Below are 23,121 nucleotides of genomic sequence, written 5' to 3'. Positions count from 1 at the left end.
TGCACAAGTTCCGCCTGCCATTCAGGAGGCAGTAAAGAAACTTATTCAATGAGAGAGCTGACAGAAGTGATCCAAATCAATAACGTGCTTTGGGTTTGGGGCATGTCATTATAGGAAATTTTACATCTTGAGAGACAGATGGGAGGACAGCTCCTAGAAGAACCTAAGGCTCTTCATTTTAAAGGCAGCACCCACAACCTGCGCCTGTCAATTCACGATATCGCCCATTCCCTCTGGAAGAGCAAATTGCTGGCTAAATATCAGGTAAGGTTCCCAAGCCGAACAAAAGGTCTGGAGACATCTCTAAGAAAGAGGTCTAAAATTATATAGACATAGGAAATCCCCTTCCTTGAAATTAATCATATGTCATTACTTGTTTCTCCAAAATAGTTTGGGGTTATTTAGGATTTTTGAGAAACACAGACATATTTGAGGGAATGCTTTTTAAAAATTCTTCCTTTAAATAAATGTACTATCATTGTTTTATTTTTAATAAATGAAAGGCTTCCAAATCCATCATTTCAATTAATTTTCATACTAAATGTTCACATCAATGGGTAAAAACAGCTTGAAATGCATTCACAGAAACAAACAGAAGGACATTTTTATTCCATGGGACACAAATTAGGCTTCAGCCTTCCTAGGCCAGTACCCTTACATTGAAAAATTAGAGGGAGCCCTACTTTGGAGAACTGAAATAGCATGTAAAAGTAAAACCCAATCAGGATATTATTAAACAAGAGACAAGAAAATACTGGTCCCAAGTGTCATTTGTATATACCTGGGGGAAAATCACATGACCCTCAAGGAATTTTCCCCTCCTTCATCCGTCAGCCTGAGCTCTTGAGAAAACCACTTTGGCGGGATTGCAAGCCTCATATGCCATCCTAGGAGGGGCAGACATATTTAGAGAGCTGTGAATCCATGTTGATATTTATGCAAATTCAACCCAAACCCCAGCATTGCCTCTGAACTGGTAGCTATTTCCTGATGTAAGCCAATGAACATACTGGAAGACTGATGGGAAGACATTCTGGCTCCATTCTCACTCTCATTGGTCTAGTTCCTACACATAAATTATGGGAAACAAGCCTACTGGTTTGTTAACAATCATGAGCTTTGACGGAGGTTGCATGCCAGACTCTCTATGCACAGCTCAGTCCTTGATGGAGACAGAAGGCTTCTGACTTACTCAGTATACCTCTTTCTTTGCTTTCTTCTTTCCTCTGTGTTGCAGTTGTCATAAAATACTATAAATCTCCCTGTTTTAGGAGTAATTTCTTTTATACAATTATAAGAAAATACTATTTTAATGATAATGATAATATGATATTAGTTAAAGCTAAGCCTGGCCGAATGCTTACCATCTGCTGGACACTCTCTTCATACATTGGTTTAGCTCATTTAACCCCAGCAGACCTACGAATGAGAAGCTCTTTGTTTACTCTTTTGCAGATAGGAAAACTGAGCAATGGAAAGATTAAGTAATTTGCCCCAGGTTATCAAGTAAGCGAAATAAGGGGTTCTTATTTGTACTGGATTTGGCTCCGAAGCCACTGCTTTTTACAGCCATGCTCTCCCATTTTTTATGTGGCAACCTTTTCTTTCCTTTATTGAAAACAGATTCTAGGATAGGCTCTGTAAGGTGGTCTAGACTTTTAGAAAATTAAAGCCTGTTCGATGCTTGGTGCCAAGAACTTTTCTGTGGCAGCTAATTGAGTCTGAAGTTTCCAACTGTAGTGGGTTTTGGCTTCCCCTGTCCTGGGCAGAGGAGGATGTAAAGCATGAAAGGGAGCCACATCAGTGCAGTATCCTTTAGACTTTCTTTGCTTTTCTCCAGAATGTCACGACAGGGATTCTATTAATGAGCAATGGCTGGTGTGTGCAAGTTTTATTTTGGGAATTGTATAAACTCTTTTTTTTTTTTAATCATTTACAATGGTTCCTGTTGTTGTAAATTAGAGACATGTGGCAGACTGGTTAGGTACATGGATTCTGGAGGCTGACTCCTTAGGTTCAAATCTCAGCCCTGCTACTTACTTGCTGTGTGATTTGGGGTAAGTTATTGAACCTCTCTGGCCCTCAAGTTTTTCATGTGATAAGGGTCCAGGATGTACTTAAACATAGGGCTGTTGTGAGGATTAAATGAGGCCACAGGTGTGATACTCAGAGTACCTGGCAGCAGACCATCTGAGAGTTATTTTTGGTATTAGTCCTTCAATTGTGGTTAACACTTTCATATCCTTTAGGAAATTCCATTTTACCATGTTTGGAGTGGATCTCAAAGAAACCTGCACTGCACCTTCACTCTGGAAAGATTTAGCCTGAACACAGTGGAGCTGGTTTGCAAACTCTGTGTGCGGCAGGTGGAAGGAGAAGGGCAGATCTTCCAGCTCAACTGCACCGTGTCAGAGGTAAGTGGCTCCTGTCTGTCTGAAATCAGGGGAGAGTGCGACACTCAGGAAGACAGAGTGTGTGGGCTAAAAGGGTATCTCAACATAGTCCATATGGGAAGTCCTCAAAAGCTTTCTATAGATCCTATTTGTTAATAGAATAATATTTGTAATGAGCAATGGAAGCTAGCTGCAGAAAAAAATATATATATATTAAGGGATCCTTTTTGAAAAACAAGTCTTAATTTTTATGACATGAATTTTAAGAATTATGTTCTAACTTGTAAAAACAGATCTGAATTTCAAGTAAAGGTTTAATTTAAGGAGCGTGCACATGGAGTAACTTCTCCCCATGCATCCCTTAGCGTGCCATGTTCCCCCATCCTCCATCTGTCTCTCCTCCCTTTCTGCTTCTTTCTCAGCAACTCTCCTCCCTTTCCCCTAATCACCTGCTGCTGGGTGGAGTGGAAGAAAGGAGAGGGGCTTCTCTGCTCCCTTTTTCTTCTTCTCCATTCAAAGGAAGAAAGGAGAAATCTCTTGATCTCCTTTCTCTCTATCATTCTCTAAATATAAAGAGAGATACACTTTCCTCCGGGATGGGGGAAATATGCCACAAATAGAAGTAGAATCTCCGTATTTCCCCCCTGTGGCCATCAGCTTTGCCTTCCTTTGCTGTGATCTTCACACACTTCAGTTGGCTATTTCCCTGTGTCCATATTACAGAAATAATAGTGATCACTGCTATCTAAAACTTCTCCTTAAGGAAAGAGGAAGTGCCCATGACCTTCCTTATCTGTTACCTTGGATCCAAAGCCTTGAAAATTGATAACCCTTCACACCAGAGGAACAAAGGGAAGAGAAGAAGCCAAAAGGGCAGAAGGCAGCCTCTTTGGGGCCTCATGGAGCTAAGCCCTGTGCTGCGTGCTAAGCCACAAAGCACAAGATTGTCATATGTGAAAATGACAGCGGGCCAGTATATGATTTAAAATACTACCTCTCCCTCGTTGTGTCATGCACAGTGACGAATGCAATGTCAGCATGTTCAGCTTGTCTTGCTTCACATGTCATATTTAAAGACCATCTTCCTTAGCAAACCGAGTGGGGAGAAAAGCACATCAGCTTCCGCTACACTCCATCCTTCTTTCTTTCCCACAGCCTGCCGAGGTGCGGTCATCATTTCCTCCTGTAGTTTCATGAGACTTTTGACTCATAAACAACTTTAGTCACAGCCCCCGGTGACATTCATAAGGAATGATCTCGGTGTCAGGGTGCCATGGCAACCGCCAGGCCTTCGGATGCGCAGCCCTATCTCCCAGGCACACAGCACCACCCCTGCTGGCTCGGGAGGGTGTTTTCACTTTCCAGGCCCAGCAGGTCTGCAAAGTTCAATAACCACCCAGCTCCAGTGACAACAAAGGCTGCGGAATTTTGGAGGGGGGTGAGGGGGTCTGGTCCTTTGATGCTTGCTTTCTGTTCCACATGAACATTGGCTGCGTGTTAAAAAGGTGGATCAGATGCAGCCACAAATGAAAGAGAGCTGCTCTGTGCTCTCCCGCGCCAGGGCTGCCACCTCCCTTCAGAAAAAGGACAGTTTTGCATAGTGTGATCACAATTTAAGGGCTTTTGCTTTCTTATGGCAACACAGAGGAAAGATTACTTCTTTTGCAACACGGTGTCAGTCTGCTCAAAGAGACCAGCCTTCAGTCATGTCAGAGGCATCTGCCCTTGTGTGACAGACAAGCATATTTAACTGAGGGCGGGGAAGAAGTGAGGGGAGTCAAGATGACTTTGGGGGATTAAGGGGCACTCTGCGGCTTTTCCTTCTGGGTCACTGAATCCCACTGTTGTGGTTAGCATTTGAATGCGGGTGCTGGGTGCGCAGAGGAGGGAGTGTGGATGGGTGTACTGATGTTGGAGAGGAAGCCTCTGCGCTGAAGAACAATGGACTCTGTAGAGTTATGGGACCCAGATCCTCAACAAAACCTTCAAGAAAGGGTACAAGATGATTGACAAACCATAAACAAGTAGAGAAAAGGCTCCATTTGTGGTTTCTTTCTTCTGAACAGGGCTCCTTCCTAGGGTCACAGGGCAAGATGGCAATGAGGCTGGGGTTCCCGTTCCAATGTCCTATCTCCCAGGAATGAGCTGGCTTGCCAGAAATGTGCTGCCCCTCCCTCCAGCCACCCACCACCGGACGCACTCACCAGTCGTCATTTATAAAGCTACACAGCCCTTGGCCTGTCCTGTCAGACAGAGGACCTGTTGCCCACCCCAGAGACCAGGCTGTGCGTGACATGTACTCTGATTATTTCAAGGGCCAGCCAGTTGTCTCTGGGTGATTTAGCCAGGGATTCCTTAACTAGAGACAAAGGCTTTAATTAATTTCACAGAGATGAAGTTTAAGAAGGAAAATGTCTGGAAGACTAACTAACTGTATTGACACAAATGAATGTCAAAATGTAAAAGATGATAAAAGATTTTGTTTGTTGGTTTCATAGACAAGTGCAGAGAGAGTAACCAGGAAGCTACTCATTATCTCCAAAAGAAAAGAAAACATGGTGCAGAGGACAGATGATAAATTTACAGTTTTTTCACATCTTCTATTTTGTTTCAGTTACAGGCAGACATCCATCATGGGAAATTCCCAAGTAGGCTGTTCCATGGAGATAGATAGGGCCAATTACTTAATCCTTTCTTGCCTCAGTTTCCCCATTGTAAATTGGTATAGAATATTATCTTGGGCCAGTGTGGGAATTAAATGGGAGAATGTTTGTTAGTAAGTAAGTGTTCTAAACAGAACTTGGCCCAGAGCACATGCTTAATCTATGTTCACCATTTTTACTGGTGCCACTGATGCCATAAGGATAACAGGGCTTTTGAGTCAACTTTGCTACTTCAATCCGTGGGGGGGGTCTGTCATCAATTGAGGTTTCAGATTTTCTTTCTATCATCAATCAAAATAAACACAAAAATAAAACTCAGATCCTATATAAATAAATGAAAACTAAATATAAACAAAAATTAGCTCCCAGAGAAAAGAAGGTAGCATGTATCCCCAAGTTGGTTTATCACATTGCTTTACTTGAAAGCTCTGAACCCTGAAAAAAGGTGCAGTTTTAGGGGGCAGTATTTATTAGTCAGTCATCTTTTTCTTTTTTTTTTTTTTTTTTTGAGAAGGAGTCTTGCTCTGTGGCCCAGGCTGGAGTGCAGTGGCACGACTTCAGCTCACTGCAACCTCCGCCTCCTGGGTTCAAACAATTCTCCTGCCTCAGCCTCCTGAGTAGCTGGGATCACAGGCATATGCCACCACACCCAGCTGATTTTTGTATTGTTAGTAGAGACAGGGTTTCACCACGTTGGCTAGGCTGGTCTCGAACTCCTGAGCTCAGGTCATCCACCCACCTCAGCCTCCCAAAGTGCTGGGATTATAGGCGTGAGCCACCACGCCCGTTCTCATCTACTTTACTTTAATAATAGATTTATAGGTAATAAAAGCAATTATAATTAAGTTTTATATTTGCTAGATCTTATAACCTCTTAAGTTGTGGTGCACAGCACTTCTGTATACACAAATAATATTTATTTAAAATAAATGTACAAAGTAATATCACTCTGCTACAGCCATTTCATCTGTTTACATCTTCTGCTTTCCATAACCTGCTCAAAATGACCATTGGGAAAATCTAGTTTTTCTAAGCGACTTTAGGAAAAGTCCAAATATCAGAATAGAAAGTTGTTTCAGGACTGTGGAGTCCTGAATATGTGTGTCATCACCCATAGCAGCTGTTTGACTAATGTTGAAAAATCATATGTTTACATAAGGGAATCATAACATCAAAGACCAATGGTACTGATATTATAAATGATTATTGAAATAAGCATTCTGTGAGAGTAAACTCTACTTTTACCTGGAAGTAAAGGAAGAACTAATAGCAACTAAAATTACTAGATGAAATGTAAATGTATAAACGTATTTTACTTTAACTTTCAAGGCTGTTGTCAGCCATTTGATAAGAGAAAGAAACAAAGAAATGATGCCCTATTGAGCTTGTTTCATCTACACAGAAATAAATAGGCTGAGTGAGTAGCCAGGGATAGAGAGCTCAGGACTTCAATGCCCACATGAAATGCTGAGGAGAGTTCTTTATCCACAAGAAAATGGGGACAACATGAATATGTGAGCACGCCTTCCCAAGATCCATGCCTATCTATCTTCAACTGGCCTCTCATTTCAGGATTTAACTTCCACATTTAGTTGGAAGGCAGCTCAACACCCTAGTCTATGGGTGGGCTTCTATCAGAGGTTGGCTTCATCTTCTTTCTGTACTAAGGACAAATATTTTCTCTCATTTCAACAAACAAACATTAATTGAGTAGCTTCTTGTGTGTGGGGCACAGTGTTATCATAGAGGTCTGAGGATGATTGATTGATTGATATACTCTCACCAAAAAGAAAGAAATGTGAGAAATAAAAGGCAGTAACCTACAAATACAGCCAATGTGCACAGAGCAGAGTGTGAGGAGCACAGAAGAGCTGGGAGGCACCGAGGAGACCTCCAGGCCTGACGCCTAGGGTATGCTCGCCCAGGGGGGCCCCAGGGCACAGGACTTTTGGACCAGGCTTTGAGGACTTTGCCTGACAGAGATCAAAGAAAAGAAAGAGCAGAATAACTATTAGAGGTGCATCCTTAGAAATGGCATGAGAACTAGTGAGTGGTGCTCAGACTCTAAGGAGCCTATGAGTCAGGTCAAGTCACGGTAAGGACGGGGCAACCTGAGATTAGATTGTGAAGTGGTGGAAGCACAGGTGAACAGCCCTACTCCATGTCCGACTGCATTCTGCACTTCACATGGTCACCTTGCAGCCTCATACCAGCCAACCAGGAAGGTCATATAAAGATCCCTCACTGGGCCAGGTATGGTGGCTCACACCTGTAATCCCATGACTTTGGGAGGCTGAGCTAGGAGGATCACTTGAGCCTAGGAGTTTGAGACCAATCTGGACAACACAGTGAGACCCCATCATCTCTTAAAAAAAAAAAAGGCAAATTAGCCCAGTGTGATGGTGCACACCGATAGTCTCAGCTATTTGGGAGACTGAGGTGGGAGGATCGCTTGAGCCCAAGAATTCAAGGCTGCAGCAAGCTATGATCACACCATGGCACTCCAGCCTGGGTGACAGAGAAGTGTCAAATGCCCCTCCTACCACATGAAGACCTTGTCTCTAAATACATATATATATGTATTTGAGGACAAATACCATGATCACAGCCAACAGCACTGTGCATACCATGGCAAAAGATTTCAAATGCCCTCCACACCCCTGGATTGACCCTGTTCCATGGGATTGCATAAGCCTAGAAGTGAGCACTTGCTGCTGATCGCAGAATGTGGAACATACTGCTAATCAACACTGGCACACAGGCAGTTGCAACCTCACCGCCTGCAGTGCCAGTGCATTCACGGCTGGGGAGGCCACTGAAGCGGTGCAGGGCAGCATATGGGGGGCGCTCTGGGTGATGATGGTGGTGTTGAGCCCCTGAGCTGAGCACTCAGCAGGAACCAAACACTTCATGATGGCTGAAACTGGGTGTGGCCAGTTAGTTCATCCTCTGGCAACTAGTGAGGAACACCAACAAGTTACGTGCTTTAAAAAGAGAGAGACAGCCGAATAGGAACAGCTCCAGTCTACAGCTCCCAGTGTGAGCGACGCATAAGATGGGTGATTTCTGCATTTCCATCTGAGGTACCGGGTTCATCTCACTAGGGAGTGCCAGACAGTGGGCGCAGGTCAGTGGGTGCGCGCACCGTGCGTGAGCCGAAGGAGGGCAAGGCATTGCCTCACTCGGGAAGTGCAAGGGGTCAGGGAGTTCCCTTTCCTAGTCAAAGAAAGGGGTGACAGACGGCACCTGGAAAATCGGGTCACTCCCCCCCAAGTACTGCGCTTTTCCCACGGGCTTAAAAAACGGCACACCAGGAGATTATATCCCGCACCTGGCTCGGAGGGTCCTACGCCCACAGAGTCTCGCTGATTGCTAGCACAGCAGTCTGAGATCAAACTGCAAGGCGGCAGCGAGGCTGGGGGAGGGGCCCCCGCCATTGCCCAGACTTGCTTAGGTAAACAAAGCAGCCAGGAAGCTCGAACTGGGTGGAGCCCACCACAGCTCAAGGAGGCCTGCCTGCCTCTGCAGGCTCCACCTCTGGGGGCAGGGCACAGACAAACAAAAAGACAGCAGTAACCTCTGCAGACTTAAATGTCCCTGTCAGACAGCTTTGAAGAGAGCAGTGGTTCTCCCAGCACGCAGCTGGAGATCTGAGAACGGGCAGACTGCCTCCTCAAGTGGGTCCCTGACCCCTACCCCTGAGCAGCCTAACTGGGAGGCACCCCCCAGCAGGGGCAGACTGACACCTCACACGGCCAGGTATTCCAACAGACCTGCAGCTGAGGGTCCTGTCTGTTAGAAGGAAAACTAACAAACAGAAAGGACATCCACACCAAAAACCCATCTGTACATCACCATCATCAAAGACCAAAAGTAGATAAAACCACAAAGATGGGGAAAAAACAGAGCAGAAAAACTGGAAACTCTAAAAAGCAGAGCGCCTCTCCTCCTCCAAAGGAACGCAGTTCCTCACCAGCAATGGAACAAAGCTGGACAGGGAATGACCTTGACGAGCTGAGAGAGGAAGGCTTCAGATGATCAAATTACTCCGAGCTATGGGAGGAAATTCAAACCAAAGGCAAAGAAGTTGAAAACTTTGAAAAAAATTTAGAAGAATGTATAACTAGAATAACCAATACAGAGAAGTGCTTAAAGGAGCTGATGGAGCTGAAAACCAAGGCTCAAGAACTACGTGAAGAATGCAGAAGCCTCAGGAGCCAATGCGATCAACTGGAAGAAAGGGTATCAGCGATGGAAGATGAAGTGAATGAAATGAAGCGAGAAGGAAGTTTAGAGAAAAAAGAATAAAAAGAAATGAGCAAAGCCTCCAAGAAATATGGGACTATGTGGAAAGACCAAATCTACATCTGATTGGTGTACCTGAAAGTGATGGGGAGAATGGAACCAAGTTGGAAAACACTCTGCAGGATATTATCCAGGAGAACTTCCCCAGTCTAGCAAGGCAGGCCAACACTCAGATTCAGGAAATACAGAGAATGCCACAAAGATACTCCTCAAGAAGAGAAAGTCCAAGACACATAATTGTCAGATTCACCAAAGTTGAAATGAAGGAAAAAATGTTAAGGGCAGCCAGAGAGAAAGGTCGGGTTACCCACAAAGGGAAGCCCATCAGACTAACACCTGATCTCTCAGCAGAAACTCTACAAGCCAGAAGGGAGTGGGGGCCAATATTCAACATTCTTAAAGAAAAGAATTTTCAACCCAGAATTTCATATCCAGCCAAACTAAGCTTCATAAGTGAAGGAGAAATAAAATACTTTACAGACAAGCAAATGCTGAGAGATTTTGTCACCACCAGGCCTGCCCTAAAAGAGCTCCTGAAGGAAGCACTAAACATGGAAAGGAACAACCGGTACCAGCCACTGCAAAATCATGCCAAAATGTAAAGACCATTGAGACTAGGAAGAAACTGCATCAACTAACGAGCAAAATAACCAGCTAACATCATAATGACAGGCTCAAATTCACACATAACAATATTAACTTTAAATGTAAATGGACTAAATGCTCCAATTAAAAGACACAGACTGGCAAATTGGATAAAGAGTCAAGACCCATCAGTGTGCTGTATTCAGGAAACCCATCTCACGTGCAGAGACACACATAGGCTCAAAATAAAAGGATGGAGGAAGACCTACCAAGCAAATAGAAAACAAAAAAAGGCAGGGGTTGCAATCCTAGTCTCTGATAAAACAGACTTTAAACCAACAAAGATCAAAAAAGACAAAGAAGGCCATTACATAATGGTAAAGGGATCAATTCAACAAGAAGAGTTAACTATCCTAAATATATATGCACCCAATACAGGAGCACCCAGATTCATAAAGCAAGTCCTGAGTGACCTACAAAGAGACTTAGACTCCCACACATTAATAATGGGAGATTTTAACACCCCACTGTCAACATCAGACAGATCAATGAGACAGAAAGTCAACAAGGATACCCAGGAATTGAACTCAGCTCTGCACCAAGCAGACCTAATAGACATCTACAGAACTCTCCACCCCAAATCAACAGAATATACATTTTTTTCAGCACCACACCACACCTATTCCAAAATTGACCACATACTTGGAAGTAAAGCTCTCCTCAGCAAATGTAAATGAACAGAAATTATAACAAACTATCTCTCAGACCACAGTGCAATCAAACTAGAACTCAGGATTAAGAATCTCACTCAAAACCGCTCAACTACATAGAAACTGAACAACCTGCTCCTGAATGACTACTGGGTAAATAACAAAATGAAGGCAGAAATAAAGATGTTCTTTGAAACCAACGAGAACAAAGACACAACATACCAGAATCTCTGGGACCCATTCAAAGCAGTGTGTAGAGGGAAATTTATAGCACTTTAATGCCCACAAGAGAAAGCAGGAAAGATCCAAAATTGACACCCTAACATCACAATTAAAAGAACTAGAAAAGCAAGAGCAAACACATTCAAAAGCTAGCAGAAGGCAAGAAATAACTAAAATCAGAGCAGAACTGAAGGAAATAGAGACACAAAAAACCCTTCAAAAAATTAATGAATCCAGTAGCTGGTTTTTTTAAAGGATCCATAAAATTGATAGACTGCTAGCAAGACTAATAAAGAAAAAAAGAGAGAAGAATCAAATAGACGCAATAAAAAATGATAAAGGGGATATCACCAATGATCCCACAGAAATACAAACTACCAGCAGAGAATACTACAAACACCTCTATGCAAATAAACTAGAAAATCTAGAAGAAATGGATAAATTCCTCAACACATACACTCTCCCAAGACTAAACCAGGAAGAAGTTGAATCTCTGAATAGACCAATAACAGGAGCTGAAATTGTGGCAATAATCAATAGCTTACCAACCAAAAAGAGTCCAGGACCAGATGGATTCACAGCCGAATTCTACCAGAGGTACAAGGAGGAGCTGCTACCATTCCTTCTGAAACTATTCCAATCAATAGAAAAAGAGGGAATCCTCCCTAACTGATTTTATGAGGCTAGCATCATCCTGATACCAAAGGCTGGCAGAGACACAACCAAAAAAGAGAATTTTAGACCAATATCCTTGATGAACATTGATGCAAAAATCCTCAATAAAATACTGGCAAACCGAATCCAGCAGCACATCAAAAAGCTTATCCACCATGATCAAGTGGGCTTCATCCCTGGGATGCAAGGCTGGTTCAATATACGCAAATCAATAAATGTAATCCAGCATATAAACAGAACCAAAGACAAAAACCACATGATTATCTCAATAGATGCAGAAAAGGCCTTTGACAAAATTCAACAACCCTTCATGCTGAAAACTCTCAATAAATTAGGTATTGATGGGACGTATCTCAAAATAATAAGAGCTATCTATGACAAACCCACAGCCAATATCATACTGAATGGGCAAAAACTGGAAGCATTCCCTTTGAAAACTGGCACAAGACAGGGATGCCCTCTCTCACCACTCCTATTCAACATAGTGTTGGAAGTTCTGGCCAGGGCAATTAGGCAGGAGAAGGAAATAAAGGGTATTCAGTTAGGAAAAGAGGAAGTCAAATTGTCCCTGTTTGCAGATGACATGATTGTATATCTAGAAAACCCCATCGTCTCAGTCCAAAATCTCCTTAAGCTGATAAGCAACTTCAGCAAAGTCTCAGGATACAAAATCAATGTACAAAAATCACAAGCATTCTTATACACCAATAACAGACAAACAGAGGGCCAAATCATGAGTGAACTCCCATTCACAATTGCTTCAAAGAGAATAAAATACTTAGGAATCCAACTTACGAGGGACATGAAGGACCTCTTCAAGGAGAACTACAAACCACTGCTCAAGGAAATAAAAGAGGATACAAACAAATGGAACAACATTCCATGCTCATGGGTAGGAAGAATCAATATCGTGAAAATGGCCATACTGCCCAAGGTAATCTATAGATTCAATGCCATCCCCATCAAGCTACCAATGACTTTCTTCACAGAATTGGAAAAAACTACTTTCAAGTTCATATGGAACCAAAAAAGAGCCCGCATTGCCAAGTCAATCCTAAGCCAAAAGAACAAAGCTGGAGGCATCACACTACCTGACTTCAAACTATACTACAAGGCTACAGTAACCAAAACAGCATGGTACTGGTACCAAAACAGAGATATAGACCAATGGAACAGAACAGAGCCCTCAGAAATAACGCCGCATATCTACAACTATCTGATCTTTGACTAACCTGAGAAAAACAAGCAATGGGGAAATGATTCCCTATTTAATAAATGGTGCTGAGGAAACTGCCTAACCATATGTAGAAAGCTGAAACTGGATCTCTTCCTTACACCTTATACAAAAATCAATTCGAGATGGATTAAAGACATAAACGTTAGACCTAAAACCATAAAAACCCTAGAAGAAAACCTAGGCATTACCATTCAGGACATAGGCATGGGCAAGGACTTCATGTCTAAAACACCAAAAGCAATGGCAACCAAAGCCAAAATTGACAAATGGGATCTCATTAAAATAAAGAGCTTCTGCACAGCAAAAGAAACTACCATCAGAGTCAACAGGCAACCTACAAAATGGGAGAAAATTTTCGCAACCTACTCATCTGACAAAGGGCTAATATCCAGAATCTACAATGAACTCAAACAAATTTACAAGAAAAAAACAAACAACCCCATCAAAAAGTGGGCGAAGGACATGAACAGACACTTCTCAAAAGAAGACATTTATGCAGCCAAAAAACACATGAAAAAATGCTCACCATCACTGGCCATCAGAGAAATGCAAATCAAAACCACAATGAGATACCATCTCACACCAGTTAGAATGGCAATCATTAAAAAGTCAGGAAACGACAGGTGCTAGAGAGGATGTGGAGAAACAGGAACACTTTTACACTGTTGGTGGGACTGTAAACTAGTTCAACCATTGTGGAAGTCAGTGTGGCGACTCCTCAGGGATCTAGAACTAGAAATACCATTTGACCCAGCCATCCCATTACTGGGTATATACCCAAAGGACTATAAATCATGCTGCTATAAAGACACATGCACACGTATGTTTACTGCGGCACTATTCACAATAGCAAAGACTTGGAACCAACCCAAATGTCCAACAATGATAGACTGGATTAAGAAAATGTGGCACATATACACCATGGAATACTATGCAGCCATGAAAAAGGATGAGTTCATGTCCTTTGTAGGGACATGGGTGAAATTGGAAATCATCATTCTCAGTAAACTATCACAAGAACAAAAAACCAAACACTGCATATTCTCACTCACGGGGGAATTGAACAATGAGAACACATGGACACAGGAAGGGGAACATCACACTCTGGGGACTGTTGTGGGGTAGGGGGAGGTGGGAGGGGGGAGGGATAGCATTGGGAGATATACCTAATGCTAGATGATGAGTTAGTGGGTGCAGCGCACCAGCATGGCACGTGTATACATATGTAACTAACCTGCACATTGTGCACATGTACCCTAAAACTTAAAGTATAATAATAATAAATAAATAAAAAAGAAAAAAAAAATAGAGAGAGATGGCATTTATAGTAGATTAAGTAGATTTTCTTTTATTGCTTTAATAGTTCCCAGGCACCATTTGCTTTTGCTTTTCCAACCAGCACAAGTGATCAGAAAATGATTAGAATTTCTCCTGCAGATGAAATTCAGATTTTGCATTTGTGCTGTTTTATGAGCTGAGACTATCTTAAGAGCCAATTTATGGTTTTCTCTACTAAAATTAGATTTTTAAAAAATAAGGATATACAGCAATTGGAGGATGCCATTAACAACTTGCCCTAAGGCAATAATATACTGTGTTTACCATTTTCTTTTTTAAGAAATTAGCCTTAAGTTGATATCATTTAGAGGAGAGCTATGTTCCAGTTCATTCAACAAAAGCAGAACTGAGACATCTTCTGTGGAGTTTAGCAGAACTACTGGAGCATTTGCCCAGGACTTTCTCCTCAAGGTCAGGCTGTTTCCAGAAGCCTTGAATCTCAGATCTATTCATTCCCAAAGCACTGCCCTTTTGAACATTTTCCTCTCCTGAAATTTAAACCTTTAGGAGCTCTGATATTCCCTCTCTTCTCTCTCAGCCTGGAGAATCCCATTAGTAAAGCTGTTATCGAATCACACCAGAGCTTTCCATCCAGCCCAGTCCTCACCAAAGACTCACAAATCTGAGGCTATGCAAAGTTAGCTCAAAATGTATGTACCTCTATCTCTGAGCCAGGTTACATCTAGTGATGCACAACTTTCAGGCTAAGAAGAAGCCATTCTTCCTAAGAAGAATAACAGCATTCATTCTTTTCTTATCACTCAAAGCAAGGCATTATGTTGATTGGTTCAATAGAGATTGCTTTTGTCCTCAGAAATAATGCTGTGTTGTTCCTGTCCCTGAACTACAGGAACCTACTGGCATCGATTTGCCGCTGCTGGATCCTGCGAACACCATCACCACGGTCACGGGGCCCAGTGCTTTCAGCATCCCTCTCCCTATCCGGCAGAAGCTCTGTAGCAGCCTGGATGCCCCCCAGACGAGAGGCCATGACTGGAGGATGCTGGCCCATAAGCTGAACCTGGACAGGTGGGTATGGTCTGGCCCCAAGACTAGCTTCTTTCTGTTAGTGCCCTCCAGGACCGATAACTATTAGACGTAGGGTTAGCTTCATTTTTTTTTCCATCCACACATCTATTTAATTTTTCATTTTGCAAATATGCATTAAGCTCTGTCCTTGTACCTTGCACTACGGGCTTGCAAAGAGTGCTAAGAGACATTCTGAGCTTATCTGGCATTGGTAAGTATCAAGTTTTGTGATGCACTTTGCCAAGCTGATGGGCTAAATTCCCCAAATCATATAGCCATTCACTACCGTAGTTATTGCTCCTCCTCTGCAGTTGAGCAGGACCTAATGTTTGATTAATAATTAGCATGCCAACACAGCACTGATATTAAGTTATAAAGAGACCTCTGGAGCGTCTACTTTGTGGAGTGTCACCGTCACTACCAAACATAACATGTGGCATGACCTGTCAAAGATCATCCAAGCCTGGACTAGAAAGAAAACATAAGTCTCTTGATTTCCTGTTTAGAATATGACCCATAGACATCTTGTCTCTTAAATTATCTCACTCAGAGCTGAGGTTCACAAAGTTAAACATCACATCCCCTGTCTGGGGCTGATCTAATTAAGCATGGGCTAGTTATTTAGGATGGCTCACTGTCAGCCACAATGGGACCAGGAAACTTAAAGACAAGTAGAGAGACAGAAAGGTTTAGCTGAGGAAAAATAGATATGTAAGTCACACTGTTGAGCACATTTTCTCTTTCCCAATTACAGGTACTTGAATTACTTTGCCACCAAATCCAGCCCAACTGGCGTAATCCTGGATCTTTGGGAAGCACAGAACTTCCCAGATGGAAACCTGAGCATGCTGGCAGCTGTCTTGGAAGAAATGGGAAGACATGAAACGGTGGTGTCCTTAGCAGCAGAAGGGCAGTATTAACCACCATGCTGGAAGGGGAAATGAAGGACAAAAATGCACAGGGAGTCTGTGGCCGTCCAGGTGAATCACAGCTGAGGAGGAAATCCAGATGAGACCAATGCACTTCACAGGCAAGACTGCAGCAGGAGCCAGAAGGAAAACAGATACAACTGCCCATGTACATGCCCACTTTACTCGGACATCATCACGGGAGTTAAGAAAAATTGTGTAAATTTGTACCTTGAATTTAGCTATCAACCTAATTTTCCTCTTAGTTGGGCTGTATGCTGTGTGGTACAGGATCTTACAGTTTCCTAGGAAACGCTTTTTATTGCTATCCAGATATATGGATAAACTTTCTTAACAAACCCAATTTCTACAAATGTTGTTTACATCAAATTGGACAGGGATGCAGACACTGTCCATGGCTCGTTCTATTTTTGTTCAAATCATTTGAAGTTGAAGCTGTGGACGGTTTGTTGTGTCTATTTCAGATTAGTAATTTACAGAGAAATCACAGACTTTTGCTACAAATCGTGTGCATCAAGTGTCTCAGATAATCCTCCCATCAGTGTTCTGTTTCTAGAACTTGTAGAACCAGTGTTACTGTTTGTATCAGGGAAGTGGAGAATCTAAGTGTAAAAAAGAAATAACTAAGACTCCTATTCCTTGGAGGGACCCTTCTGGTGCCCTTTGGGAATAAAGCTGTAGCACTGCAGGGAAGACAGTGATTCATGTTCAACCCCACAAACAAGCATTTTTTTCACAACATGTGTGTTTGTTTGTAATATGCAATATGAAGTGTTTTTTTTTAAAGGTATTATTATTATTTACAGGTATTCTGGTAAAATGATTTTTTTAAATTTCTATTTTTGTTAGCAGTGCTGTTTGTTAGTATTTGGTTATTGACTAGACCTGTCCCACCTTTTCACCTATCAAGGTGGGTGTGGTCATCAGTTTAATTCAACATGCATCACTTCCTTGACCTTTTACCTTTCCCTTATTCCACCCCAGAAAGGTGATTGATAAATGCTGAATGGCTTTGTCAGTCTGTTCCTTCAGCTTGCTCAGGCAGGGTCTTTCTTTCTCCTCTGAGGAGTCTTAAGGAGACGTGTTCTCTATTAAGTTCACTTAATATTGCCGTTGTGTGGCCCCACGTCGACTCCCTATGGTGCTCTACTCTAGAGGCAGTGTGGTTGGAGGAATGGACTCTAAACTGGAGATCAAGAAACCAGTTCTCATTGTGGGTCTGTCACTGTCTTGTTGCGCCACCTTGAGAAAGTCATTTAACCACACGACCTCAGTGTCCTCACTAGAAAGTGAAAGGGTGGGATTAGATCATCTCCAAGTTCTGAAATGCTCAACTTCCACCGTGATGCCTCCAGTCTCATTCATCAGTCTGAAGACCACAATGGACTCTGACCTGGATCATCATTTAAAAATCATCAGCTGGTCTTTTGCCCAGGCTATGTTACGCCTTTCAAGTAGTTCTGACAAGGAAGATGATTATTCTAACCAGCATTATGATGTTGTTTGTTTGGCCTGAGTCGCTCTGCATCATTGCATTATGCTGTTCACTGAGAGATGACATCCCTTTATTATCATTTTCTTAGCCTCTCTTGGGATGCCCCTGCCCCCAGCCTTCCTGACTGGTTGCAAATTCTGTTTTTTATTATTGTCTTGGCATCTTGATATCTAGACCACTCCTACAAGTTTATCTGGCAGTAGGAACTTGGTGCATTTTTTTCTACGCTACACCCCCCCACCCTTAATCTTTCTTTGCTGTCATAATATTCAGTAGCATTTATAAAAGCTGTCTAGTTAGCTCTTTAAAAACTTTTGTCCTGCAAAATGTTTGTTAGTCAACACACTACTTTGTGTAAACAACTATTATGTTTCCTTGGGACCATCACAAGCTCTTTAACAAACACAAGGACTCAATTCATTCAGCAGGTGGGGATTAAAGAATCAAAGCCCAGTAGCAAAACCAAAACTGAAGAACAAGCAGACATGTGTATGAATCGGAACCTTTAGAACATGACTGTGGTTTACTTTTAGGCTGGAGGCACACAAGTTGCTGAACAGACTTGAATTATACATGTGCTTCCATCTTTCCATGTTTCCGCTCCTATTTTGGTAGCATCTTGAGATTCCTTGATGCCTCCGCCATCCTCATCCCTGAGGAACTGCTGATACCTTGCTATGGAACCTCTTCTTTCTTTCATGCTTTTTATTCCGTATCTTCTGTTTTGGACATACATACATATATTCTATAAAATCTCTCTCAGCCCACCCCCTGCATTAGGATTTCCATATTTAAAATATTTGTACACTGACTGGGGAAGGGAGAGATTGCACTATAAACAAGTTCAGTGGATGTTTGTAGCAATGAGTAAAACTGTATTCTAAATTAAAAATCAAATATATATACACGCAGTTATACACACACATTTTTTAAAAGGAGGAGGAGGAAAGAGAGCTATTGTCCATTCCTACATTTTGAAATAAACTTGTCAAGATTACGCATCAGTACCAGGGTTGTGGAATCATCTATGGAAATCAAGAACTAGAATCTGAACTGAATGGTCAAAGAAACTTCTATGCCTAGTGAAAACTAGAGGGGAGCAACTATGTAGCTATGAACATGAATCAATTCCATAACTGTTACTAAAAACTTATTTTGACTAAAAAGTCACCAACACAGAACTATTGAACACAAACAGGAATTGTTTGTCTTACTGAAGTCACTGAGAACCCTTGGGGTTCACTTCAGATGCTTTTTTGGTTCAACTTCCCACCACCAGAAAAGGGAAAAGTGATTGATTTCGTGTGTGAGGTACTCATCTGTCAGAACCCTTAATGTTTCCTATTAAGTGAATGACAACTTCCATACATACACTATTTATACCAAATAATTTTCACTACAAATTCTGATTTCCTTCTCCTTTGGAGTAAAGTAATAGCTGTTAGATTGCTTTCAAACTTAGAAGGTCCAGATATAACAGTTCATTTCATAGGAAGCCACTTCATCAACCATTCTATGTGATACATCCTGCTTCTTTCTACACCGCTGGAGAGGCAGTTTGGCTGGTTTCATTTGGATAGAAAAAACTATCATTTGTGCATGCTGCCATCTAGTGGTGTACAACACAATCTAACCTGAGTTTAATATTCACTAGAATGTGTTTGACGAAGGGAATGAAAACCTGTAGAGTTCAAGGACCTTTATGACAAACAGATGTAGGGAAATTTTCACTTCAAATTTATAATTTTCTTATTCTCACTTTTTTTTCATTTGCATCACTCATCTCAATATTAGGTCACTGTGAGCCCAGTACATCAACTCATTCATACACAACATATCTTCAGTTGCTTCTTGTAACAGAACTATGTAAAATCTATATAAAACAGTCTTTGAAGAGTTGTCATTTTTAACACTTATGGTTTTCATTGGGGTTTGTATACTTTAAATCTCCTTTTAGTTCCTTAATATTTATCTTTGGAAATGTAAGAAGTATCTGCTTAGAAAGAAATAAGTCTTATATATGCGAATGGAATACTATGTCTAGGGAAGAGAAAATTGGGGTTGTTAATCAAAGGGAAGAAAGCAGCTTCTTTTCTGCTGAATTTGGGAATCCAAAGGCAGAGGTTTCATCCTGTTTTTATTTTCTTCTTATCACACTCTTTCAAGTTTCCTTAATGTATCTGGAAGGAATAGAAGTTGGATTCAGAATTGATAACTGGCATGGTGATGACAAACCTGTGTAACACCAAGGTTCTCACAGCTAACAGCTGTTTCACAAACGGCATCTTCCAAATGAACAGTCACCTCTGCTATGCAGAAAACCCCCATCCTGCTGTGAGCAAGTTAGGCTCTTCAAGAACTGGACAACTTTTGGGTGAGGTGTTCAATATCAAACTGCATAATCATTAGCCATTTTCATATATACTATTTTATAGATTTAAGTCTCTCAACTATCAAAAAGTAGAGCGATTTTCAGGAGAAAAAAGTCGTGGGGACTGAGTTCAGGACACCCTGAAACTATGCGACCAGTAATTTTTTTAAGGTATTTTTTCCTACAAGTAAGGTATCTGAAAAGTCAACGTTTTGAGGGTGGAATCAAGACTTTTCACTTCTCCTGGCAAAGAGCAACAAGGCTCTTGTCTCGTGTCCTTCTGTGTGTCTCTGTCAGGATCACAGCAGCTGTGCTCTTGGTCTGCTTACTCCTCTGTAATCCACGTATGCAGAAGGGAGTTAATAAGGTGATCACCATCTCCCCAGAATTCAAAGGTCTTTGCCTCTATAAGGTCTGCCCCTATGGGGCCAGGAAAATATAAACCTATATAAGGACTTGCAAGAGAGCATAAAGAAGGTAGAAAAGGTTTACTTGTTGGGTTTTCAAGCCTTCAAGTTGAATGAGTCTTAGCTTTTGCTGGGCAGTTGTTCTGGACAAGTCATCAGTTTCATGTGGAGAACTCAGTGTAAGCCCAAGGCTAATGAATGAGAGGGGTCCCATGGAAACACAGCTGAAATGAAATGGGACTTTATCCATCTTCTTTGAGAATGGAAGAGCTTTTGTGAAGCAGTACATCATTGCTCAAGATAATGGTTGATAAGCATTAGATTTTATAGATCTAATAAGGAAAATATTTTATTATCTCAAGTTAACAAAACATTTTTTTACCTCTCGAGTGCCTCATAGGACCAACTATTACTCTTTGGCTTTTATTTTTCTTTTTGTATTATTTTTATATATTCTTTAACCTTGCTGAGCTAGTATTGACTGAAATCTTTAGAACTTTGCCTCTGGGCAATGAAGTAATGTTTCTCTACCCTAAGATATCTATTTGTATAATCTCTGGCTGTAATGATCACTTTGGAAGATTTCCTTTGCATCTCTAATTATTTCTTTTTAATGGAATAAGGCATAAGGGGGAATAAATATATTGTAACCAATGTTATGTAAACCCATATCCATACAGGCCAGGAAAGCCAAATGAAGTCATTTCCAGAATTCTAGTGTGAAAAACCTATTTTTGAAAAGTGGGGAGATGGCTTTGTGTAGAACTGGGTGGGTTTTCTCTGCAGACTAAGTCTAGCCATGAGCTTCCAGATCCTTTAGTTTTATCAGCCTTGTGCTTACCCCATTTTCATAAATGCTACTTTAACAGCCAGTCTTCATAAGTCATGGTTCCTAGGTTTTCCTGTCACCTCATTGTATTCATCTGTGGTAGGATATTAACGGGCTCATTCAACCAAATGTAATGTGTGCCTCAGACCTATTTAGCATGGTTGGGGGGCATCAGCAGGACAAACCAACAGGTACTCCGCAAGTGTACTGGCACAGCAAGCCCACCAATTATTAGCAGCTCTTCATCAGCCTGCTGTCTACTCAGACGCTTGCCTACTGAAGGGACCTGTCCAGAGATCTTCTGGAATCCCAGGTTGGGAATCTCTGCAGAATGTCGTGACAGTTGTGGCCCAACTAGCTTCTGAGTAGAAACAAGGAAGCTACCCTGAGATATAGTCAGCTGCCCACCTGCCATAGTATTTGCTACTGAATGCCAGCCTTTTAACATACCATTTCAGATTTGTCCTTCAACAAAAATATAAATTGCAAGTCATACCATTTAAGGGTCTTTTACAAATATGTCTAAATTGTGTGTCATTTTTAAGTTCCAAAGGTCTACTGGACTAAGTACTATCAGACCAGCTGTAGAACCTGATGGCGCTGATCCGGGGTGGAATAACCCTCAGTACTGGTGTGTAGAAGATGAATTGTAGGCAGGTTTTGCTGATCAGCAGCCTAAGGATTGATGGGCTCTCTTTTGGCCTCTGATCCTGAGCACTATGGAGGCAGCATCAGAGAATGGGGACCTGAGCTACATAGGTTCTCAATGTTAAAACAACTCTGTTCGGAGTGACATATAAGAGCAAGAAATCTACAGCTGGTGTAAAATACCTTTGCCTTTTCTATCCCGAAAGTAACAAATGGCATCTGTACATGTAGGGGTAAAAACTCAGATGTCTACTCCTCCAGGCCATGGACAAGAAAAAGTACAGCAGTCAGAACAGTGGAACAAGTGATTTGCATTCTCTTCTTCACGCTTTCCTAGATCTGCCATTGGTAGCGCAGCCCTCGCCCTCCAGACATAATGCATCGAGCCCAGTTGCAGGGAACATCACTGTGTGTGTGTGATGTCATGGTGTTATATGTGTTGAGTTTAATGTTGAGCTGAAGCAAGTTGGTGACCTTCCTCTTTGCTCTTTGTAAAGAAGACACCAATGTTTGTCAGAGAAAAATCCCCAGCAGTCGTGTTGAAGAGGCAGTGTCATCCACCTACTGTCCCCTTTGGAACAGTTCAACTGCAGAAAGGTCGGATTGAGGTTTTGTGCTTTGTCGTTTTTCTTTTTTAAACAAAACATGACAACCTTGGCTTTTCCGATATGGAACACTTTTGTTGTTGTGGAGTTCCCTCTTGCTGTATCTTCTATGCAATTCCTTTTCTAAAAAAACCCCCCGGCAGAGGCAGAGTGCCCTCCGGATATCTGTCCGGCGCCTTGCTGAGTGGTGGAGGTGAGGGATACCAGCTCCGGGTGTGCCTCTTTTCTCTCCCTGGCTGCCAATCCTGATTTTCCCTGCAGTCCCCTTGGTTTGTAAATTGCCTGCATTTATTCTGTCAGCCAACATGTACAAAATGTAAGAAAGAATTTTTAAACAGGTAATAAATTATATTTATAAGCAACAAAGTGCTGCCTCCTTCACTTAATAACAAGGTTCTCTTGCGTGTTCAGAGCTGCCACGTGTTTCTTCGGTGGGACAGAAAGGCTTTGGGTCCTGCGTGGATGGTGATCACAACCTCCTGCAGGCACAGGATGAGGTTTTAGCATGGTGCTACTAAAAAATCAGCTGCACACTGGAATCACCAGAGAGGCCTTAAGAACTAACGCCAGGGTCACACCTCCAGAGATTCTGATGGAAGTGGTCTGGGGGTAGCCTGGGTCTTGGGTGTTAAAAGCTCCCGGGTGGTACTAATGAGCGGTTAAGGGTGAGAACCAATGTC

The 23,121-nt window shown here is 42.0% G+C and overlaps 1 protein-coding gene across 4 annotated transcripts in view; it reads left to right on the top strand.

Annotated features, from left to right (window-relative positions):
- UNC5C (unc-5 netrin receptor C) overlaps positions 1–22,807 on the top strand; it is a 386,470-nt gene extending 363,663 nt beyond the window's left edge. For all 4 annotated transcript variants that reach the window (NM_003728.4, XM_005263321.4, XM_047416346.1 and 1 more), the window contains 4 exons: positions 115–264; positions 2,250–2,414; positions 14,979–15,157; positions 15,912–22,807. In NM_003728.4, the coding sequence (NP_003719.3) occupies positions 115–264; positions 2,250–2,414; positions 14,979–15,157; positions 15,912–16,077 (660 nt within the window). In that variant the 3' untranslated portion in view covers positions 16,078–22,807. The remainder of the gene's footprint in view (positions 1–114; positions 265–2,249; positions 2,415–14,978; positions 15,158–15,911) is intronic.
- Positions 22,808–23,121: the final 314 nt, after the last annotated feature.

This window comes from Homo sapiens, chromosome 4, assembly GCF_000001405.40.
Source record: "Homo sapiens chromosome 4, GRCh38.p14 Primary Assembly".
Classification (NCBI taxonomy): domain Eukaryota; kingdom Metazoa; phylum Chordata; class Mammalia; order Primates; family Hominidae; genus Homo; species Homo sapiens.
This window is presented reverse-complemented; position numbering and strand designations above follow the sequence as displayed.